The 20,143-nt window shown below is 43.4% G+C and overlaps 2 annotated features.

The window, feature by feature from the left end:
• Nucleotides 8,646–9,146: an enhancer, noted in NCBI's record as "H3K4me1 hESC enhancer chr19:24078955-24079455 (GRCh37/hg19 assembly coordinates)". NCBI's record gives its function as "activates a minimal SCP1, AML or CMV promoter by ChIP-STARR-seq in primed H9 embryonic stem cells {active_cell/tissue: H9 hESC(primed)}" and the evidence as "EXISTENCE:reporter gene assay evidence [ECO:0000049][PMID:30033119]".
• Nucleotides 9,147–9,647: an enhancer, noted in NCBI's record as "H3K4me1 hESC enhancer chr19:24078454-24078954 (GRCh37/hg19 assembly coordinates)". NCBI's record gives its function as "activates a minimal SCP1, AML or CMV promoter by ChIP-STARR-seq in primed H9 embryonic stem cells {active_cell/tissue: H9 hESC(primed)}" and the evidence as "EXISTENCE:reporter gene assay evidence [ECO:0000049][PMID:30033119]".

The following is a 20,143-nucleotide window of genomic DNA, read 5'->3' as shown; positions in this document are numbered from 1 at the left end:
GGAAGAAAGGTGGATCTAGAAGATGGGCCCAATAGAGTATAGCAGGTATGGGTTGCAGGCAAAGTGAGAGAATAAGAAGAATCAATACCCTGCAAGAGTTACAATGTACAACAGAAAGCATAGAAAGGAACACATTATCTGAGGGAATGGTTTCTTTTTCTGCAGCAGAATTCACTCAGCCTCCTGAGTTGTCTTCTTCAGCATCCCCCAGGTAATGTCTGGGGCCTGTGATGTCTGAGAAAGTGGCATTGTCTGGGGTTGCAGGTTCTGCAGGATAATTTCCTTCATTTTTGGTACGGGGTTGGGTCCTAGCCATGCTGTGGTAAGGTTTGGTGTGTCACGCTGGAATCCAAAGAGGCTGAGGGGTTGTGAACCCAAGCATATCCTCTTCCCAACATTAACAAATAATTTGGACCACACTATACATTACTATTTGCCGAGACCAGCTCAGTCATGGAGACCCTAACCCAGTGGCACTAGAGGAATTAAAGACACACGCACAGAAATATAGCATGTGGACTGGGAAATCAGGGGTCTCACAGACTTCAGAACTGACAGCCCCAAACAGAGATTTACCCACATATTTATTGGCAGCAAGCCAGTGATAAGCATTGTTTCTATAGATTATAGATTAACTAAAAATATTCCTTGTGAGAAATAAAGAGATGTGCTCTGGCTAGTTATCTGCAGCAGGAATCAGTCCTTAAGGCACAGATTGCTCATGCTATTGTTTGTGGTTCAGGAATGCCTTTAAATGGTTTTCCCACCCTAGGTGGGCCAAGTGTTCCTTGCCCTCGTTCCAGTAAACCCACAACTTTCAGCATGGGCATCATGGCCATCACGAGCATGTCACAGTGCTTCAAAGATTTTGTTTATGGCCAGTTTTGGGGCCAGTTTATGGCCAGATTTGGGGGCTTGTTCCCAACAACTATTTACATCTTTCCATAAAACTTGAGGCTTTATATTTTGAGAGGTTTTTGCAAAGTGCTTTTCTATGGCTGACTGAAATTTATTATCTAAATTTAAGAAATTTAGGGTAAATAAGGCTCGTGCTAATAGTGTTGTAGGGTTCCTACTCATATTCCCGTTTTTGGTTTTTTAAGCATACTCTTAAGGGTGGAATGGGTACATTCCACTGTTATCTGGGTTAAATAATTGATAAATTCAACAAATGGCTCCTGGGGCCCTTGTCATACATTTACAAAAGATCTCTGTTGGACTCTGCCTTTGGGAATTCGTTCCCAGGCCCTGTGAGTGCACAAAGACACATGTGCATAGGCTTGGAGGAAAAATTTAATTGTTGTTATACATTAACATAGGGACCCCTCCCCTGGAGCATAGTAGCTGTTATGTTTTGCCTGGCCCAACTGATTCTGGTTAACTTGTTGTTCACATAACTCATCATATTCTGCCCTCCAGAGGAGGTATTGACTGGCCTCTAAAGTTGTTTTAGCTAATATTGACCAGTCCCATGGGGTCATATGGTAGTTTTCTGCTATGGCCTCAAGTAATCCTCTCCTAAATGGGCTAGTGGCTCCATTTTCTCTAATGCTTTTTCTTTATAAGTCTTCAAAGTAATGGGTTCATGTACCTGACTGCCTTGTTGATCTTCCATCATTGGGCAGGCCAAGAGCTCCCCTTCTAATGCTGCTTACCTAACACAGGGTCCCATAACTGTAATGTATCCCTTGTCTTTTCCCCAATTTATTGGGAGAGGGGGCTCAGGAAAAATCTCTGCCTCCTCTGTGGCACCTTTACTGGTAACAACCAGGCTGAGGGAGGAGGAGGAGGAGGAAGATGAGGAGGCAGTAAGGTAGATGATGATTCTTCCTCCCTTCCCTTTTTAGGCTGTTCTGTATAGAGCAGGGCCAAAGCAGCCCTAACTAAGGCCCATAATATTAAAGAACATTAAAGATGTTACTGGGACTCGTTGCCCATGTGCATAATGTTTAAGATTCCTTCTCACTTGTTCCCAGAGTTCTAGGTCTAGTATGCCTTCTTCTGGGAACCATGGGCTATGGAAAACAACAGTTTGCATTAGGTCCCTTAATTGAGCCTTTGAAACTGAGGCTCCACTAGCTTTTAGCAGTTGTTTCAATTTTTTATATACTGTTGCTGTTGAGCTGATAATTGTTGTCACATGATAAAGCCCTAGCTTGAGTCTGGGCACAATGGTTCATGTCTGTGATCCCAGCACTTTGGGAGAATGAGGTGAGTGAATCACCTGAGGTCAGGAGTTCAAGATCAGCCAGACCAACATGGAGAAACCCCATCTCTACAAAAAAAATACAAAATTAGCCAGGCATGGTGGTGCATGTCTGCAATCCCAGCTACTCAGGAGGCTGAGGCAGGAGAATCACTTAAACCTGGGAGGTGGAGGTTGCCATGAGCCAAGATTGAGCCATTGCACTCCAGCCTGGGAAACAAAAGCAAAACTCCATCTCAAAATAATAATAATAATAATAATAAATAAAACCCTGGCTTGAAAAAATTCCTTTGAACTTGGAAATCCCCAGTGGACACAAATTACTTACTGTGCAGTCACTTCCCTTTCATTTTTGAGGGTTCCGTCATGATCCATTTTGTTGCTTCCCACATGGGGCACCACCTGCTGGTTCTGTCCCACACATCCTGGCTGACAGATGAAATAAGTACTCAGACATAGGTATGCAGTCTTAAAGCAGCTAGGGAACTGCCCAGCTCTTGTGGCCAGATTTCAGCACCGAGAAGCTGGAGCTGCTTGCTTTTATTCAGTGCAGGCACAATGTCAAATACCTGGAGCCAACACAACCTGTAGGTAATTAACATTTATAGTTCCCTTTTCACCACTCTGACTGATCCCCCACACTTTATGCAATACGCATGTGAGTCGCAATCTACTCTAAGACATTTGTGATGATATGGACCCATGATACTACATGTGACTCTAAGCCCAGGAATGAGAGTCAATATCTTTCCAACTGGCTGATCCATTTAGGAAAGTCCTCACCTGCCTATGAGCTACATTTAGAAGAGAGTCATCATTTGTAGCTTTAGAAATGAGCCATTCCTGGCTGGATGTTTGTATATCACAGTCACAATTCCAACTGCAGTCTGCATCTGCATATGAGATTTAGGACCTCACCAGTGGGCTCTGTCCATGTTGAGGTTACAATTATAACAGGCGGCAGGAAGTTCTTTTAAGAAACACAAACTTTGGCTGGGTGCAGTGTCTCACACCTGTAATCCCATCACTTTGGGAGGCAGAGGCGGGCAGATCACCTAAGGTGAGGAGTTCAAGACCAGCCTGGCCAACATGGTAAAACCCCTACAAAAATTAGCTCGGCTTCGTGGCATGCGCCTGTAGTCCCAGATACTCAGGAGGATAGGCAGGAGAATCATTTGAACTCAGGAGGTGGAGGTTGCAGTGAGCCAAGATCGTGCCACTGCACTCCAGCCTGAATAACAGAGTGAGACTCCCATCTCCAAAGAAAAAAAAGAAAATAAAAGAAACACAATATCATCTGTGTTTTTGTCCCTTGATGACACTCTCTGTGCCACCCAAGGGCTTTATACAGTATTTGAGGGCGTGGTAATTCTCTATGACCTTGGCAAAACGAAAAGACTAAGGATCGTGTTTGTTTTCCTAAGCCTAACTAGGAGAGAGTGCAACTCTTTTATTGCCTGGTTCAAGGTGTGAGAATCAACATAGCAATTGCAAGCTGGGGCAAGATATATGTCACAATTATGCTGCTGAGTAGGAAGTGAGCAGAAGAGTCACGTCATCTGGGGCTGGTCTAAAGGCATGTCACAATCTTTTCTGAGGGCAAGAACCAGAGAGTAGAGTCATATCACATCACCTAGGTGCTTGGCCAGGGATGCATTAGAATTTATTCCTGTAAGATGGCCACAGGCAGACTGGGTGCATTGGCTTATACCCAGACAAGAGGGAAGGCTCTTGCATTGGGAGATCAAGACAAGTGGTTCACATGACATCAGGAGTTTGAGGCCAGCCTGGCCAATGTGGTGACACCCCACCTCTACTAAAAATACAAAAATTAGCCCAGTGTGGCAATGCATACCTGTAATCCCAGCTACATGGGAGGCTAAGGCAGGAGAACAGCTTGAACCCAGGAGGCAGAGGTTGCAGTGAGCCAAGATCATATCACTGCACTCCAACCTGGGTGACAAGAGTGAGACTCTGTCTCAAAAAAAAAAAAAAAGGAAAGAGAGAAAGAAAAGATGTGCACAGGCCACAAGTCACATTACCTAGGTGCTGGGCCCAGTGATACACTACAATGCTGTCTTTGAGAAACACCCTGAGTGGTTATACACACACCTGGTGGCTGATCCCAGTGATATGTTACCATCTTCTCTTTGTGCATGGTGCATGTAGGTGAGGAGAGCCCTATTTCATAGGTGATGGATGCCAAAATATGTCACAAGGCCACCTGTTGGCAGGGCCCAGGCAGGAGCCTCTCATCCCATAATGTCAGACCCAGTAAAAGTAACAATATGCAAAATATGCAAGGTCCAGTCAAAAGATGTCTTACATCATCTAGGTGCTGGGTCCAGTGATACATCACAATTCCCTTGTGGCAGTGTAGAGGCTGAAGAAGAGTCACATCACTACCTAGGTGATGAATGAAAAGATGTTTCATAATACTCTTGTGGTCAGGGCTTATGTAGAAGTCTCACATCACCTGGGTGGCAGACCCAGCTATATGTCACAATGCAAAATGTTTGTAGGGCCTAGACAAGAGAAAAGAGTCCCATCACATAAGTTCTGGGCCCAGTGATACATCACAATCCCCTTTTGGTCAGACCAAGCAGTAGAGGAAGTCACATCACCTAAATGCTGCACCCAGCAACATGTCACAATAACCCCTCAGAGGACATACCAGACAGAAAAGTCAAATCACCTAGATAAAAGGCCCAGAAATATCTTATAATGCTATTGTTTTGTAGGGCTCAGGAAAAAAATGAGGTCAGCTAATGTAGCAGCTGGGCCCAGCTATATGGCACAATTACATCAGGCAAGGGCTTGGTTTGAGAGGAGAGTCATATCACATAGGTGCTTGGCCCAGTGATATGTCACATTTCCTACTGTGGACAGGTCCAGAAAGATAAGAAGAGACCTATCATTTAGGTGATTGGCTCAGAGATATGTCACAATGACCAATTGGGCAGGAACCAAGTGGAAGAATCACATCCCCTGTGTGCTGGGCCCAGCAATAAGTCACTCTCACTTCTCTTAGCGTGACCCAGGCCCAAAGATATATTACAATCTAACCTATGGACAAGGTGAAGGTAAGAGAGGAGAGTCACATAAAATAGTTGATGGACAGAAAACTCACATCATCTTCGTGTAGGGCCCAGGAACATGACACAATGTCTTACATGGGCAGGACTAAGAAAAATAAAATAATATCTTTCTGGTGCCTAGTTGAGTAACAGTGCCCAATCTTTCCTGCAGGAACAACAACAACAACAAAAATCAGCTACATGCTGTAAAATGTCTCAGTTCTTCCTGTGAGCAGAGACATGGTAACACAAGAGAGTCACATCATCTGTGGGATTGGTGCAAAGACATTTCGTTCTTTCTTTTTTTTTTTTTTTTTTTTTTGAGATGGAGCCTCACTCTGTTACCCAGGCTGGGGTGCAGTTGTGTGATCTTTACAAACTCTGCCTCCTGAATTCAAGTGATTCTCCTGCCTCGGCCCCCCGAGTAGCTGGGACTACAGATGCCCATCACCACACCCAGCTGCTTTTTGTAATTATTATTAATTTTTTTAGTAAAGACAGTGTTTCACCATATTAACCAGGCTGGTCTTGAATCCTGACCTTTTGATCCACCTGCCTCATCCTCCCAAAGTGCTGGGATTACAAGTTTGAGCCACAACGCCCAGCCACAGAGACATTTCAAAATGACCCTGTAGGCAAGGCCCAGACATAAAAGTTACATCACCTGAGTGTTGAATCCAGCAACATGTCACAATGGCCCAAATGGGCAAATCACAGGCAGAAGAGTCACAAATTGTCAGGGCAGGGACCAGCATTATGACACAATGTCACCTGAAGGCAAAACCTAAATGAATAAAAGAGTCACATAAGCTAGGAGCTGAGTGTAGCAATATGCTGCAATTTCTCTGTAAGCAGGGACCAGAAGAAGAAGAGAGTCACATCACCTGGATGCTGGGCTCAGTAATATGTCAATCATCTTTCCTGTAATAAAGACCCAGGCAGGAGAATTACATCATCTGGTTGCTGACAACAGCAATGTGCCACAACTTTCCATGTAGGCAGGGTGCAGGCAGAAGAGGAGAGTCACATCTGCTAGGTGAGGAATGCAGAGACATGCCACAATGTCCCCTGTAGGAAGGTCCCAAGTAGGAGACTCCCATCCCTTAGGAGTTGAGTTCAGCAATATGTCACAATACCCAAATGTGTAGAGCCTGAGAAAAAGAGGAGAGTCACATCACCTAGATGCTAGGCCAGTAATCTGTCACAATTTCTCTGTGAGCAGAGACCAGGCAGGAGAAGAGAGTAACGTCAGTATGGTGATGGACATTGAGTTATGTCACAAGGTCCCCTGCAGGCAGTCCCAGAAAAAAAAGTTACATCACCTGGGTGTTGAACCCAGCAATATGTAACAATGTCTAATGTGATATATTGAGCCCCAATACGGCACAACATGTAAGGCACATTTGGGAGAGTCATATAACATGGGTGCAGGATTCAGCCAAAATTGACAATACTTAAAATTTGTGGGGTCCCCAAAAAAAGAAGAGTCAAATCACCGAGGTGCTGGATCCAGTGATGAATCACAATCTTACCTTCAGACTGGGACCATGCAGCAAAATCAAATCACTCAGGGCTGAACATAGGCATATGTAATAATCACTCGTGCAGGAAAGTCCAGTAGTGAATTAACAATCCTGCACAGGTCTCAGTTCTAGGTATGAGAGTCACCACATTTTCTATGTTGGGTCTAAGTAAGGTAGTGATAACCTCACCAATGAACTGGATTGGAGCTTGAGACCCTTCATTCCTCCTGTAAACTGTGTTCACTCTAGCCCTAAGCCCAGGTAGAATTTTCATGGGTTCAGATAGAATTCTCACCTTCCAATGTACTGGGTTCATAAATCAGTCATCATTTCAACCCTGACTGGATGTTCACATATGAGAGTTCACAGTTTCTACTGTGGACTGTGTCTGTGTGAAATTCAGGGCCTCACCAGTGTGCTCTATCCAAGTGTGAGGGTGACAATCCCAACAGCTGGTGGGCTGTGCACATTGCACATAAGAACTACAATCTCCCTGTGTGCTGAACCCTGGGAAGACACTCTCTGTACCACAAGAGATTTATATAGTATGCAAGAAATTGGTAATTTCCTATGACTTTGTACAAAAGGGAGACTCAGGATTATAATCATTACCATAGGCCTAGCTACAAAAGACAGCATCTCTCCTGTTAGGTGGGTAGAGGTATGAAAGTCACCATTGCACCTGTGAGCTAGGCCAAACTATATTTTACAATCCCACCTGTGAATAGGCAGAGAGAAGGAGAGTCACATCACCTGGGTTTTTGGCCAGGAATACATCACAATCTTTACTGAGGGCAGGGATCAGACAGGAGTGTCACATAACTTTAATACTCAGCCAGGAATATGTTACAACCTTCTCCTGAAAGCAAAACACAGGCAGCAGAGTCACATCACCTGGGTGCTGAGCCCAGCAATAGCTAATAACGCTTTCTATAGTCAAGACCCATGCAAGAGAGACACATCACCTGGTAGCTGGGCCTAGTGATAATTCGTAATTTTTCTTGTGAGCAGAGTAAAGGCAATAACAGAAAGTCACAGCTCCTAGGTGATTGATGCAGAGATATGTCACAAGGCCCTCTGTTGAAAGGCCCAGGCAGAAGCCTCCCATTTTATAGGTGTTGGGCCTGGTAATATGTTATACTATGCAAAATACTCAGGGCTTAGGCAAAAAAAAAAAAAAAAAATGGAGTCATGTAACCTAAGTGCAGAATTTAGGAATATATCACAATGCACCCTGTGGGCAGTGACAAAGCAAGAAAAGACTCACATTACCTGGGTGGAAGGCCCAGCCATATGTCACCATGACACCTGTGGGCAACACCAAGCCTGGAAAAGCGAGTCACTTCTTTGAGGTGCAGAGTCCAGAGATATGTCACAGTCTCATCTGAGGGCTGAGCCAAGGCAGGAGAGTCAAATCACTAAAATGCTTACCAGGCACAATCACACCTGCAGGAAAGTCCAGGAATGAGATTAGATATTCCATACAGGTCCATGTTCTAGATATGAGAGTCAACACCTCCTGTATGATGGGTCTAAGTTCATGAGTAACAATCTCAATAGCTGACAGAATTTTTGCAAAAGAGCTACCATTTCTTCTGCAGACTGTGTTCTGTTAGTGCAGTCACAGCCTCATATGTGTGCTGAATTCTTGGTCTGAAGTTCACCAGCCCACCTGTGGCCCAGGCCATATAGGAGAGTCAATTCTCCAACTTTCACAGCCTCCATGTCTGAGATTCAGAACCTCAACAGTGGGATATGTTTATGTGGGAGAATGACAATCTTTACTGTCACTTGGGCATGCATTCAAGACACATTATCTCACCTGTGTGCTGTGAACTCCTATGACACTCACCATGTCACCTGAGGGCTTTATACAATATGCAAGAGTGGTGATCCTCTGTGACCTTCGTACAAGAAGGGAATCCAGAATCTTTTCTATGGTTCTAAGCCCAGAGTCAACATCTCTCTAATTGGCTGAGTCTAGATGAGAGAGTCCTCACCTTCCTATGAGGAGGGTTTAGAAATGAGTCACCATCTGGAGGAGCCAAGATGGCCAAATAGGAACAGCTCCAGTCTACAGCTCCCAGCCTGAGTGACGCAGAAGATGGGTGATTTCTGCATTTCCATCTGAGGTACCGGGTTCATCTCACTAGGGAGTGACAGACAGCGGGCGCAGGTCAGTGGGTGCACGCACCGTGCGCGAGCTGAAGCAGGGTGAGGCATTGCCTCACTCGGGAAGTGCAAGGGGTCAGGGAGTTCCCTTTCCTAATCAAACAAAGGGGTGACGGATGGCACCTGGAAAATCGGGTCACTCCCACCCAAATACTGTGCTTTTCCGACGGGCTTAAAAAACAGCACACCATGAGATTATATCCCGTGCCTGGCTCGGAGGGTCCTACCCCACGGAGTCTCGCTGATTGCTAGCACAGCAGTCTGAGATCAAACTGCAAGGCAGCAGCGAGGCTGGGGGAGGGGCACCCACCTTTGCCCAGGCTTGCTTAGGTAAACAAAGCAGCCGGGAAGCTCGAACTGGGTGAAGCCCACCACAGCTCAAGGAGGCCTGTGTGCCTCTGTAGGCTCCACCTCTGGGGGCAGGGCACAGACAAACAAAAAGACAGCAGTAACCTCTGCAGACTTAAATGTCCCTGTCTGACAGCTTTGAAGAGAGCAGGGGTTCTCCCAGTACGCAGCTGGAGATCTGAGAACGGGCAGACTGCCTCCTCAAGTGGGTCCCTGACCCCTGACGCCCGAGCAGCCTAACTGGGGGGCACCCTCCAGCAGGAGCACACTGACACCTCACACTGCAGGGTACTCCAACAGACCTGCAGCTGAGGGTCCTGTCTGTTAGAAGGAAAACTAACAAACAGAAAGGACATCCACACCAAAAACCCATCTGTACATCACCATCATCAAAGACCAAAAGTAGATAAAACCACAAAGATGGGGAAAAAACAGAACAGAAAAAATTGGAAACTCTAAAAATCAGAGTGCCTCTCCTCCTCCAAAGGAACGCAGCTCCTCACCAGCAACAGAACAAAGCTGGACGGAGAATGACTTTGACAAGCTGAGAGAAGAAGCCTTCAGACGATCAAATTACTCTGAGCTACGGGAGGATATTCAAACCAAAGGCAAAGAAGTTGAAAACTTTGAAAAAAATTCAGAAGAATGTATAACTCCAATAACCAACACAGAGAAGTGCTTAAAGGAGCTGATGGAGCTGAAAACCAAGGCTCGAGAACTACATGAAGAATGCAGAAGCCTCAGGAGCCGATGCGATCAACTGGAAGAAAGGGTATCAGCAATGGAAGATGAAATGAATGAAATGAAGCGAGAAGGAAAGTTTAGAGAAAAAAGAATAAAAAGAAATGAGCAAAGCCTCCAAGAAATATGGGACTATGTGAAAAGACCAAATCTACATCTGATTGGTGTACCTGAAAGTGATGGGGAGAATGGAACCAAGTTGGAAAACACTCTGCAGGATATTATCCAGGAGTATTTCCCCAATCTAGCAAGGCAGGCCAATGTTCAGATTCAGGAAATACAGAGAACACCACAAAGATATTCCTCGAGAAGAGCAACTCCAAGACACATAATTGTCAGATTCACCAAAGTTGAAATGAAGGAAAAAATGTTAAGGGCAGCCAGAGAGAAAGGTCAGGTTACCCTCAAAGGGAAGCCCATCAGACTAACAGCGGATCTCTCGGCAGAAACCCTACAAGCCAGAAGAGAGTGGGGACCAATATTCAACATTCTTAAAGAAAAGAATTTTCAACCCAGAATTTCATATCCAGCCAAACTAAGCTTCATAAGTGAAGGAGAAATAAAACACTTTACAGACAAGCAAATGCTGAGAGATTTTGTCACCACCAGGCCTGCCCTAAAAGAGCTCCTGAAGGAAGCGCTAAACATGGAAAGGAAAAACCGGTACCAGCCACTGCAAAATCATGCCAAAATATAAAGACCATCGAGACTAGGAAGAAACTGCAACAACTAACAAGCAAAATAACCAGCTAACATCATAATGACAGGATCAAATTCACACATAACACTATTAACTTTAAATGTAAATGGACTAAATGCTCCAATTAAAAGACACAGACTGGCAAATTGGATAAAGAGTCAAGACCCATCAGTGTGCTGTATTCAGGAAACCCATTTCACATGGAGAGACACACATAGGCTCAAAATAAAGGGATGGAGGAAGATCTACCAAGCAAATGGAAAACTAAAAAAGGCAGGGGTTGCAATCCTAGTCTCTGATAAAACAGACTTTAAACCAACAAAGATCAAAAGAGACAAAGAAGGCAATTACATAATGGTAAAGGGATCAGTTCAACAAGAAGAGCTAACTATCCTAAATATATATGCACCCAATACAGGAGCACCCAGATTCATAAAGCAAGTCCTGAGTGACCTACAAAGAGACTTAGACTCCCACACATTAAAAATGGGAGACTTTAACAGCCCACTGTCAACATCAGACAGATCAATGAGATAGAAAGTCAACAAGGATACCCAGGAATTGAACTCAGCTCTGCTCCAAACGGACCTAATAGACATCTACAGAACTCTCCACCCCAAATCAACAGAATATACATTTTTTTCAGCACCACACCACACCTATTCCAAAATTGACCACATACTTGGAAGTAAAGCTCTCCTCAGCAAATGTAAAAGAACAGAAATTATAACAAACTGTCTCTCAGACTACAGTGCAATCAAACTAGAACTCAGGATTAAGAATCTCACTCAAAACCGCTCAACTACATGGAAACTGAACAACCTGCTCCTGAATGACTACTGGGTACATAACGAAATAAAGGCAGAAATAAAGATGTTCTTTGAAACCAACGAGAACAAAGACACAACATACCAGAATCTCTGGGACACATTCAAAGCAGTGTGTAGAGGGAAATTTATAGCACTAAATGCCCACAAGAGAAAGCAGGAAAGATCAAAAATTGACACCCTAACATCACAATTAAAACAACTAGAAAAGCAAGAGCAAACACATTCAAAAGCTAGCAGAAGGCAAGAAATAACTAAAATCAGAGCAGAACTGAAGGAAATAGAGACACAAAAAACCCTTCATAAAATTAATGAATCCAGAAGTTGGTTTTTTGAAAGGATCAACAAAATTGATAGACCGCTAGCAAGACTAATAAAGAAAAAAAGAGAGAAGAATCAAATAGACACAATAAAAAATGATAAAGGGGATATCACCACTGATCCCACAGAAATACAAACTACCATCAGAGAATACTACAAACACCTCTACACAAATAAACTAGAAAATCTAGAAGAAATGGATAAATTCCTGGACACATACACTCTCCCAAGACTAAACCAGGAAGAAGTTGAATCTCTGAATAGACCAATAAGATGATCTGAAATTGTGGCAATAATCAATAGCTTACCAACCAAAAAGAGTCCAGGACCAGATGGATTCACAGCCGAATTCTACCAGAGGTACAAGGAGGAGCTGGTACCATTCCTTCTGAAACTATTCCAATCAATAGAAAAAGAGGGAATCCTCCCTAACTCATTTTATGAGGCCAGCATCATTCTGATACCAAAGCCAGGCAGAGACACAACCAAAAAAGAGAATTTTAGACCCATATCCTTCATGAACATTGATGCAAAAATCCTCAATAAAATACTGGCAAACTGAATCCAGCAGCATATCAAAAAGCTTATCCACCATGATCAAGTGGGCTTCATCCCTGGGATGCAAGGCTGGTTCACTATACGCAAATCAATAAATGTAATCCAGCATATAAACAGAACCAAAGACAAAAACCACATGATTATCTCAATAGATGCAGAAAAGACCTTTGACAAAATTCAACAACCCTTCATGCTAAAAACTCTCAATAAATTAGGTATTGATGGGACATATTTCAAAATAATAAGAGCTATCTAGAACAAACCCACAGCCAATATCATACTGAATGGGCAAAAACTGGAAGCATTCCCTTTGAAAATGGGCACAAGACAGGGATGCCCTCTCTCACCACTCCTATTCAACATAGTGTTGGAAGTTCTGGCCAGGGCAATTAGGCAGGAGAAGGAAATAAAGGGTATTCAATTAGGAAAAGAGGAAGTCAAATTGTCCCTCTTTGCAGATGACATGATTGTATATCTAGAAAACCCCATTGTCTCAGCCCAAAATCTCCTTAAGCTGATAAGCAACTTCAGCAAAGTCTCAGGATACAAAATCAATGTGCAAAAATCACAAGCATTCCTATACACCAACAACAGACAAACAGAGAGCCAAATCATAAGTGAACTCCCATTCACAATTGCTTCAAAGAGAATAAAATACCTAGGAATCCAACTTACAAGGGACGTGAAGGACCTCTTCAAGGAAAACTACAAACTGCTGCTCAAGGAAATAAAAGAGGATACAAAGAAATGGAAGAACATACCATGCTCATGGGTAGGAAGAATCAATATCGTGAAAATGGCCATACTGCCCAAGGTAATTTACAGATTCAATGCCATCCTCATCAAGCTATCAATGCCTTTCTTCACAGAATTGGAAAAAACTACTTTAAAGTTCATATGGAACCAAAAAAGAGCCCGCATCGCCAAGTCAATCCTGAGCCAAAAGAACAAAGCTGGAGGCATCACACTATACTACAAGGCTACAGTAACCAAAACAGCATGGTACTGGTACAAAAACAGAGATATAAATCAATGGAACAGAACAGAGCCCTCAGAAATAATGCCGCATATCTACAACTATCTGATCTTTGACAAACCTGAGAAAAACAAGCAATGGGGAAAGGATTCCCTATTTAATAAATGGTGCTGGGAAAACTGGCTAGCCATAGTAGAAAGCTGAAACTGGATCCCTTCCTTACACCTTATACAAAAATCAATTCAACATGGATTAAAAACTTAAACGTTAGACCTAAAACCATAAAAACCCTAGAAGAAAACCTAGGCGATACCATTCAGGACATAGGCATGGGCAAGGACTTCATGTCTAAAACACCAAAAGCAATGGCAACAAAAGCCAAAATTGACAAATGAGATCTAATTAAACTAAAGAGCTTCTGCACAGCAAAAGAAACTACCATCAGAGTGAACAGGCAACCTACAAAATGGGAGAAAATTTTCGCAACCTACTCATCTGACAAAGGGCTAATATCCAGAATCTACAATGAACTCAAACAAATTTACAAGAAAAAAACAACCCCATCAAAAAAAGTGGGCGAAGGACATGAACAGACACTTCTCAAAAGAAGACATTTATGCAGCCAAAAAACACATGAAAAAATGCTCACCATCACTGGCCATCAGAGAAATGCAAATCAAAACAACAGTGAGATACCATCTCACACCAGTTAGAATGGCAATCATTAAAAAGTCAGGAAACAACAGGTGCTGGAGAGGATGTGGAGAAATAGGAACACTTTTACACTGTTGGTGGGACTGTAAACTAGTTCAACCATTGTGGAAGTCAGTGTGGCGATTCCTCAGGGATCTAGAACTAGAAATACCATTTGACCCAGCCATCCCATTACTGGGTATATACCCAAAAGACTATAAATCTTGCTGCTATAAAGACACATGCACACGTATGTTTATTGCGGCATTATTCACAATAGCAAAGACTTGGAACCAACCCAAATGTCCAACAATGATAGACTGGATTAAGAAAATGTGGCACATATACACCATGGAATACTATGCAGCCATCAAAAATGATGAGTTCATGTCCTTTGTAGGGACATGGATGAAATTGGAAATCATCATTCTCAGTAAACTATCACAAGAACAAAAAACCAAACACCGCATATTATCACTCATAGGTGGGAATTGAAAAATGAGATCATATGGACACAGGAAGGGGAACATCACACTCTGGGGACTGTTGTGGGGTGGGGGGAGGGGGGGAGGGATAGCACTGGGAGATATACCTAATGCTAGATGATGAGTTAGTGGGTGCAGCACACCAGCATGGCACATGTATACGTATGTAACTAACCTGCACAATGTGCACATGTACCCTAAAACTTAAAGTATAATAAAAAAAAAATTTAAAAAAAAAGAATAACTTGGCACTTAAAAAAAAAAAAGAAAAGAAATGAGTCACCATCTCAACTGTGGCCAGATGTTCACATATGACAAAGTTCCAACTGTGGAGTGCATTCATGTGAGATTCAGGGCCCCACCAGTGGGCTCTGTCCATGTGTGATGGTGACAATTCTAAAGGTTGCTGGGCTGTGCATAGGACAAACACAATCTCATCTGTATGGTGAACTCTGTTATGACATTGTCTGTGACACACTGGGGCCTTATATATGTGAGAGAGTGGTAATTCTCTATGACATTTTTACAGAAGGAAAACCCAGGATTTTTTGTTTTCCTAAAAGTAGCTATGAGCAACGTTATCTCTCCTACTGGCTCTTCGAGGTTGAAAGTCATCATTACATCTGTGTGCTTGACCAAGTTATATGTCACAATTCCACCTGTGAGTAGAGAACAAGCACGAGGGTCACACCAACTGTGTGTTGGGCCAGGGTTATGTCACAATCTTTCCTGAGAGTATGCACCAGGCAGGAGAGTCACATCACAGGGTCTTCAACCAGAGATGTTACAATCCTCTCCTGAAAGCAGGGCACAGGAAGAAGAGTACGATCACCTGGGTGCTGGGCTCAGCTAAATATATCACAAGGCTCACTGTAGGCAAAGCCCAGAAAAGATAGACAAAACACCTGGTTGCTGGGCCCAGCAATATATCACCATCTTCTCTATGGGAAGAATGCAGGTAGAAGTAGAGGGTTTCATCTCCCAGCGATGGATAAAAAAAATATATTCCAAGGCCCTCTGTGGAAGGGGCTCAGGCAGAAGCCTTCCAACCCCTACGTGTTTGTTTCAGTGATATGTCACAATAACCAAAATATGCACCTCTCAGGCAAGTGAAGAGATTCACATCACCTAGGTGCTGGGTCCAGCGATTTGTCACAATCTTTTCTTTTGGCAGTGCTCAAGCAGAAAAGAAAAGTCACATCACCAAGATAATAAATAAAAACTTGTGTTAGAATATTTCTGTGTGAGAGCCCATGCAGGAAAGTCACATCACCATGTTGTTAGACCCACAGATATGTTGAAATACATGATGCATGCAGGTCTCATGAAGGACAGGAGAGTAACATCACTCAGGTGCTGGATGCACATAAATGTGCATCACAATTTCTTCTTTTTTTTTTATTTGTTCTGTTTTGTTTTTTTTGAGATGGAGTCTCGCTCTGTCGCCCAGGCTGGAGTGCAGTGGTGCAATATTGGCTCACTGCAAGCTCTGCCTCCCGAGTTCATGCCATTCTCCTGCCTCAGCCTCCTGAGTAGCTGGGATTACAGGTGCACGCCACCACACCTGGCTAATTTTTTGTATATTTAGTAGAGACAGGGTTTCACCGTGTTAGCCAGGATGGTCTCAATCTCCTGACCTCATGATCCGCCTGCCTTGGCCTCCGAAAGTGATGGGATTACAGGTGTGAGCCACTGCACCCAGCCCACAATTTCTTCTTAAGCACACTCCAAGCAGTAACAGAGAGTCACATCACCTAGGTTCTTGGTCCAGCAGTATTTCACAGTACCCCTGAGGGGAGGGCCTAGGCACAAAGTCACATTACCAAGGTGAGAAGCCTAGAGCTATGTCACAATGTCCCTTGTGGGTAGGGCTCCTAAATAAGAGGAGAGACATAGCCTAGGTGCTTGGCTTAGCTTTATGTTCCTATCACCCCAGTGAGAAGAAGCTAAAAATGAGGAAGAGTCACATCTCATAGGAGCTATGTCGTGTCATATCAGAATTCCCACTGAGGACAAACCCCAGAAGAAAAGAGTCACATCATCTAGGTGGGAGGCCTAAACATATACCACAGTGACTCCTGTGTGCAGGGACCAGGCAGAATAATTACATCACTGTTTTTCTTGCTTCAGCAGTAAGTCACTCTCTAATCTGTGGGCATGGCCCAGGCAGAAGAGAAATGTCACGTCACATAGGTAAAAAGGGCATTTACCTGAGCTTTGCTCATAGGAGAGATTGTAATGGGTCAAGAAATATGTCACAATGCTTCCTGTGGTCAGGGGTAGGCAGAGAACTCACATCATGTTAGTGGTGGGCTCAGCAGTATGTCTCAATGCCTTCTAAGGGCACAGCCCAAGCAAAAAAGGCAATATTACCCACTGAGCATGGTGGCTCATGCCTGTAATCCCAGGAATTTGGGAGGCTGAGGTGGGTGAATCACAATGTCCGGATTTCGAGACCAGCCTGGTCAACATGGTGAAACCCTGTATCCACTAAAAATACCAACAATTAGCTGGGTGTGGTGGTGCATGCCTGCAATCCCAGCTACTCCAGAGGCTAAGGCAGGAGAATCACTTGAACCCAGGAGGTGGAGGTTGCAGTGTGCCGAGATCATGTTATTGCACTTGAGCCTGGGTGACAGGGCGAGTGCGGGTCTGCCCCACAGACCCTTGCCGATGGATAAAATGAGTACTCAGACACAGATATGCATTGTAAGAGCAGCTAGGGGACTATCTGGCTCAAGTGGCCAGAGTTCAGTCATGAGAAGTTCAAGCTGCTTGCTTTTAGTCAGTGCAGGCACAATGCCAAAAGCCTGGAGCAAACACAATCCGGTAATTAACGTTTATTGTTCCCCTTTCAGGAAACATCACCAGTGTGGATGATCAAAGGTCAGTTCCTGGACAACTTCAAACAAGCCTGATCAAGATAACTTCCCCTTCACTCCCTTGCATATACTCCTCACCCTCTGCCTCAGGGTTAGAGAACAACTGCCTTTAGATATTGTACCCCAAAGCTATGCAGAGCCTTCCAACTTTTCAGAAGGCCTGTTCTTTTCCCTATAGTTTCTTGCATCACTGTGATCGATCTCCCACATTTCCCCCTTTTTTGCCTCAGGTTTTCTGATTGAAGAGTACAGAGATGTGCAGGCACAGGTTTGACAGGTGCAGCAGTTATAGCTTGTGTTCAGGCTTTGCATCCTAGAATTACTAAATAACATAAGACAAATATGAATATAATCAGTATTATTCTTTTCCAATCAAGGAGTGGAGGGTCCCCCAGGAGAGGGGGTCTATTAGGAGAGATGTTCTTGCACATCCTTCCATATGGCTGCTTGTTGGGTGTGTAGATTTATAGTGTTTAGGGATTCTAGAACTGTTGTTTTAAGTTGCTTTACGTCTGCTGTTACATTATCATGTAAGGTTCCACAGAGTTGTTGTTTCACCTCATCCCAACTTTGTATTGATCGATTCCATGGTAGAGAGGTGACACAAATATGCTTATGTTCCCAATATTATTGCTGTCAGAATGCCAGTACATCTTGTTATTTTCCTACATACTCCAAGGCAGCCTTGGGGGCTTGCCAATGTGCAACAATTTTTTGATCTATTCCCTGCTGTAGGAGAAATTCGTTAGACACATATCTGGCCAGGCTATCCACAAAGGTAGCTGTTTGTACTGATTCAGTAATAGATGCAACAGCAACACTAGCAGTGGCTAGGATGACTATGGCTGAGACTATAAAGGCTATTGGTGGTGCCCTGTGTGAGGAACAGAGCAATGGATCATGACAAAACCCTCAAAAATGAACAACAGTTATTCACTCAACAGCAACAGTATATAAAGATATTGAAACAGCTTCTTAAAGCTAGCAGAGCCTTGGTCTTGGAGCCCCAATTAAGGGACCTAATGCAAACTATTGTTTTCCATAACCCATGGTTCCCAGAAGATGGTACACTAGACCTAGAGCTCTGGGAACAAGTGAGAAGAAATCTTAAATGACATTCTTGTCATTTAATCTTAAATTGCACAAGGACAACAGGTCCCAGTAGCATCTTTAATGTTATGGGCCTTAGATAGGGCTGCTCTGGCCCCACTCTACACAGAAGAGCCTTAAAAGGGAAGGGAGGAAGAACCATCATCTACCTTAATATCTCCTCTTGCTCCCTCAGCCCCACTGTTACCAGGTAAAGGTGCCACAGATGAGACACAGATTTTCTCTGAGCCCCCTTCTCCAATAAATTGGGTAGAATGAAAGGGAAACACTAAAGTTATGGGGCCACGCCTTAGGCAAACAGCATTAGAAGGGGAGCTCTGGGCCTGCTTGGTGATGGGAGATCAATAAGGCAATTGGGTACATGAACTCATTGCTTTCAACACTTATGAAGAAATAAGAAAAAGTATTAGAGAAAATGGAGCCACTAGCCCATTTATGAGAGGATTAATTGAGGTAATATCAGACCCCTTTCTGGTAATGGCCACTGTTTTGATTTTTCCCCTACCCTGACATGGCTCTCTCAAAATCCTATGTGGCTAGAACAGTGGCCTTTAAAGGGAGAGAAATTACAAGGAGCCCATGAATTAGTTGAGGAACAATTTAAAAGCTGGCCATATAGAACCATCAAACAGCTATTGGAATTCACCTGTTTCCATCATTGACAAGAAGTCTAATAATTGGAGACTTTTTCATGACTTACTTGCTATCAATGTTAATTTGCAACCTATGGGGCCCATTCAACAGGGGCTCCCTTCCCCCATAGCAGTTCCTTGAGATTGGCCTATAGTTATTATTGACTTAAAAGACTCCTTTTCTACTATTCCCCTTGCAGAATAAGACAAAGAAAAATTTGCATTTACAATACCAGTTATAAATAATGAAAGGCCAGCTTGCTGAATCATTGGAAAGTACTTCCTCAAAGAATGCTGAACAGTCCTACCATGTGTCAGTATCATGTAAATCAGGATTTTCTCCCCAGTAGAAAAGAATTTCCTAATTGCAAGATCATGGATGACATCTTACTGGCAGCCCCAACGGAGCCAATACTTTTGAGTTTATATGCCTCTGTCAAAAGGAATACACAGTTTAGATGTTTAATCATAGTACCTGAGAAGGTACTGATGTCCTTCCCTTGGAAACATCTTGAATACATACTAACTTTCCGGTCAGTAAGACCTCAAAAGGTTGAATGAATACTAACAACTTACACACCTTAAATGATTATCAAACATTACTGGGTGATATTAACTGGCTTTGCCCCACCTCGGGCATAACTACTGATAAGTTACAGAACCTACTTTCTATCCTAAAGGGCAATGCAGACTTGGACTCACCCAGGTATTTGACCCCCCACTGCAAAAAGGAAAATTGAGGAAATAGAGCAAGCTATTACTCAGAGGCTACTAGATTGCATAGACCCATGATATTAAGTCCAATTATTTGTATTTCCTACTAAATATTCCCCAACAGGATTAATAAGACAGATGGCCCCAAGGCTGCACCTCCTAGAATGGGTTCTTTGCT

Source organism: Homo sapiens, chromosome 19 (assembly GCF_000001405.40).
Source record: "Homo sapiens chromosome 19, GRCh38.p14 Primary Assembly".
In the NCBI taxonomy this organism is placed as follows: Eukaryota; Metazoa; Chordata; class Mammalia; order Primates; family Hominidae; genus Homo; species Homo sapiens.
This window is presented reverse-complemented; position numbering and strand designations above follow the sequence as displayed.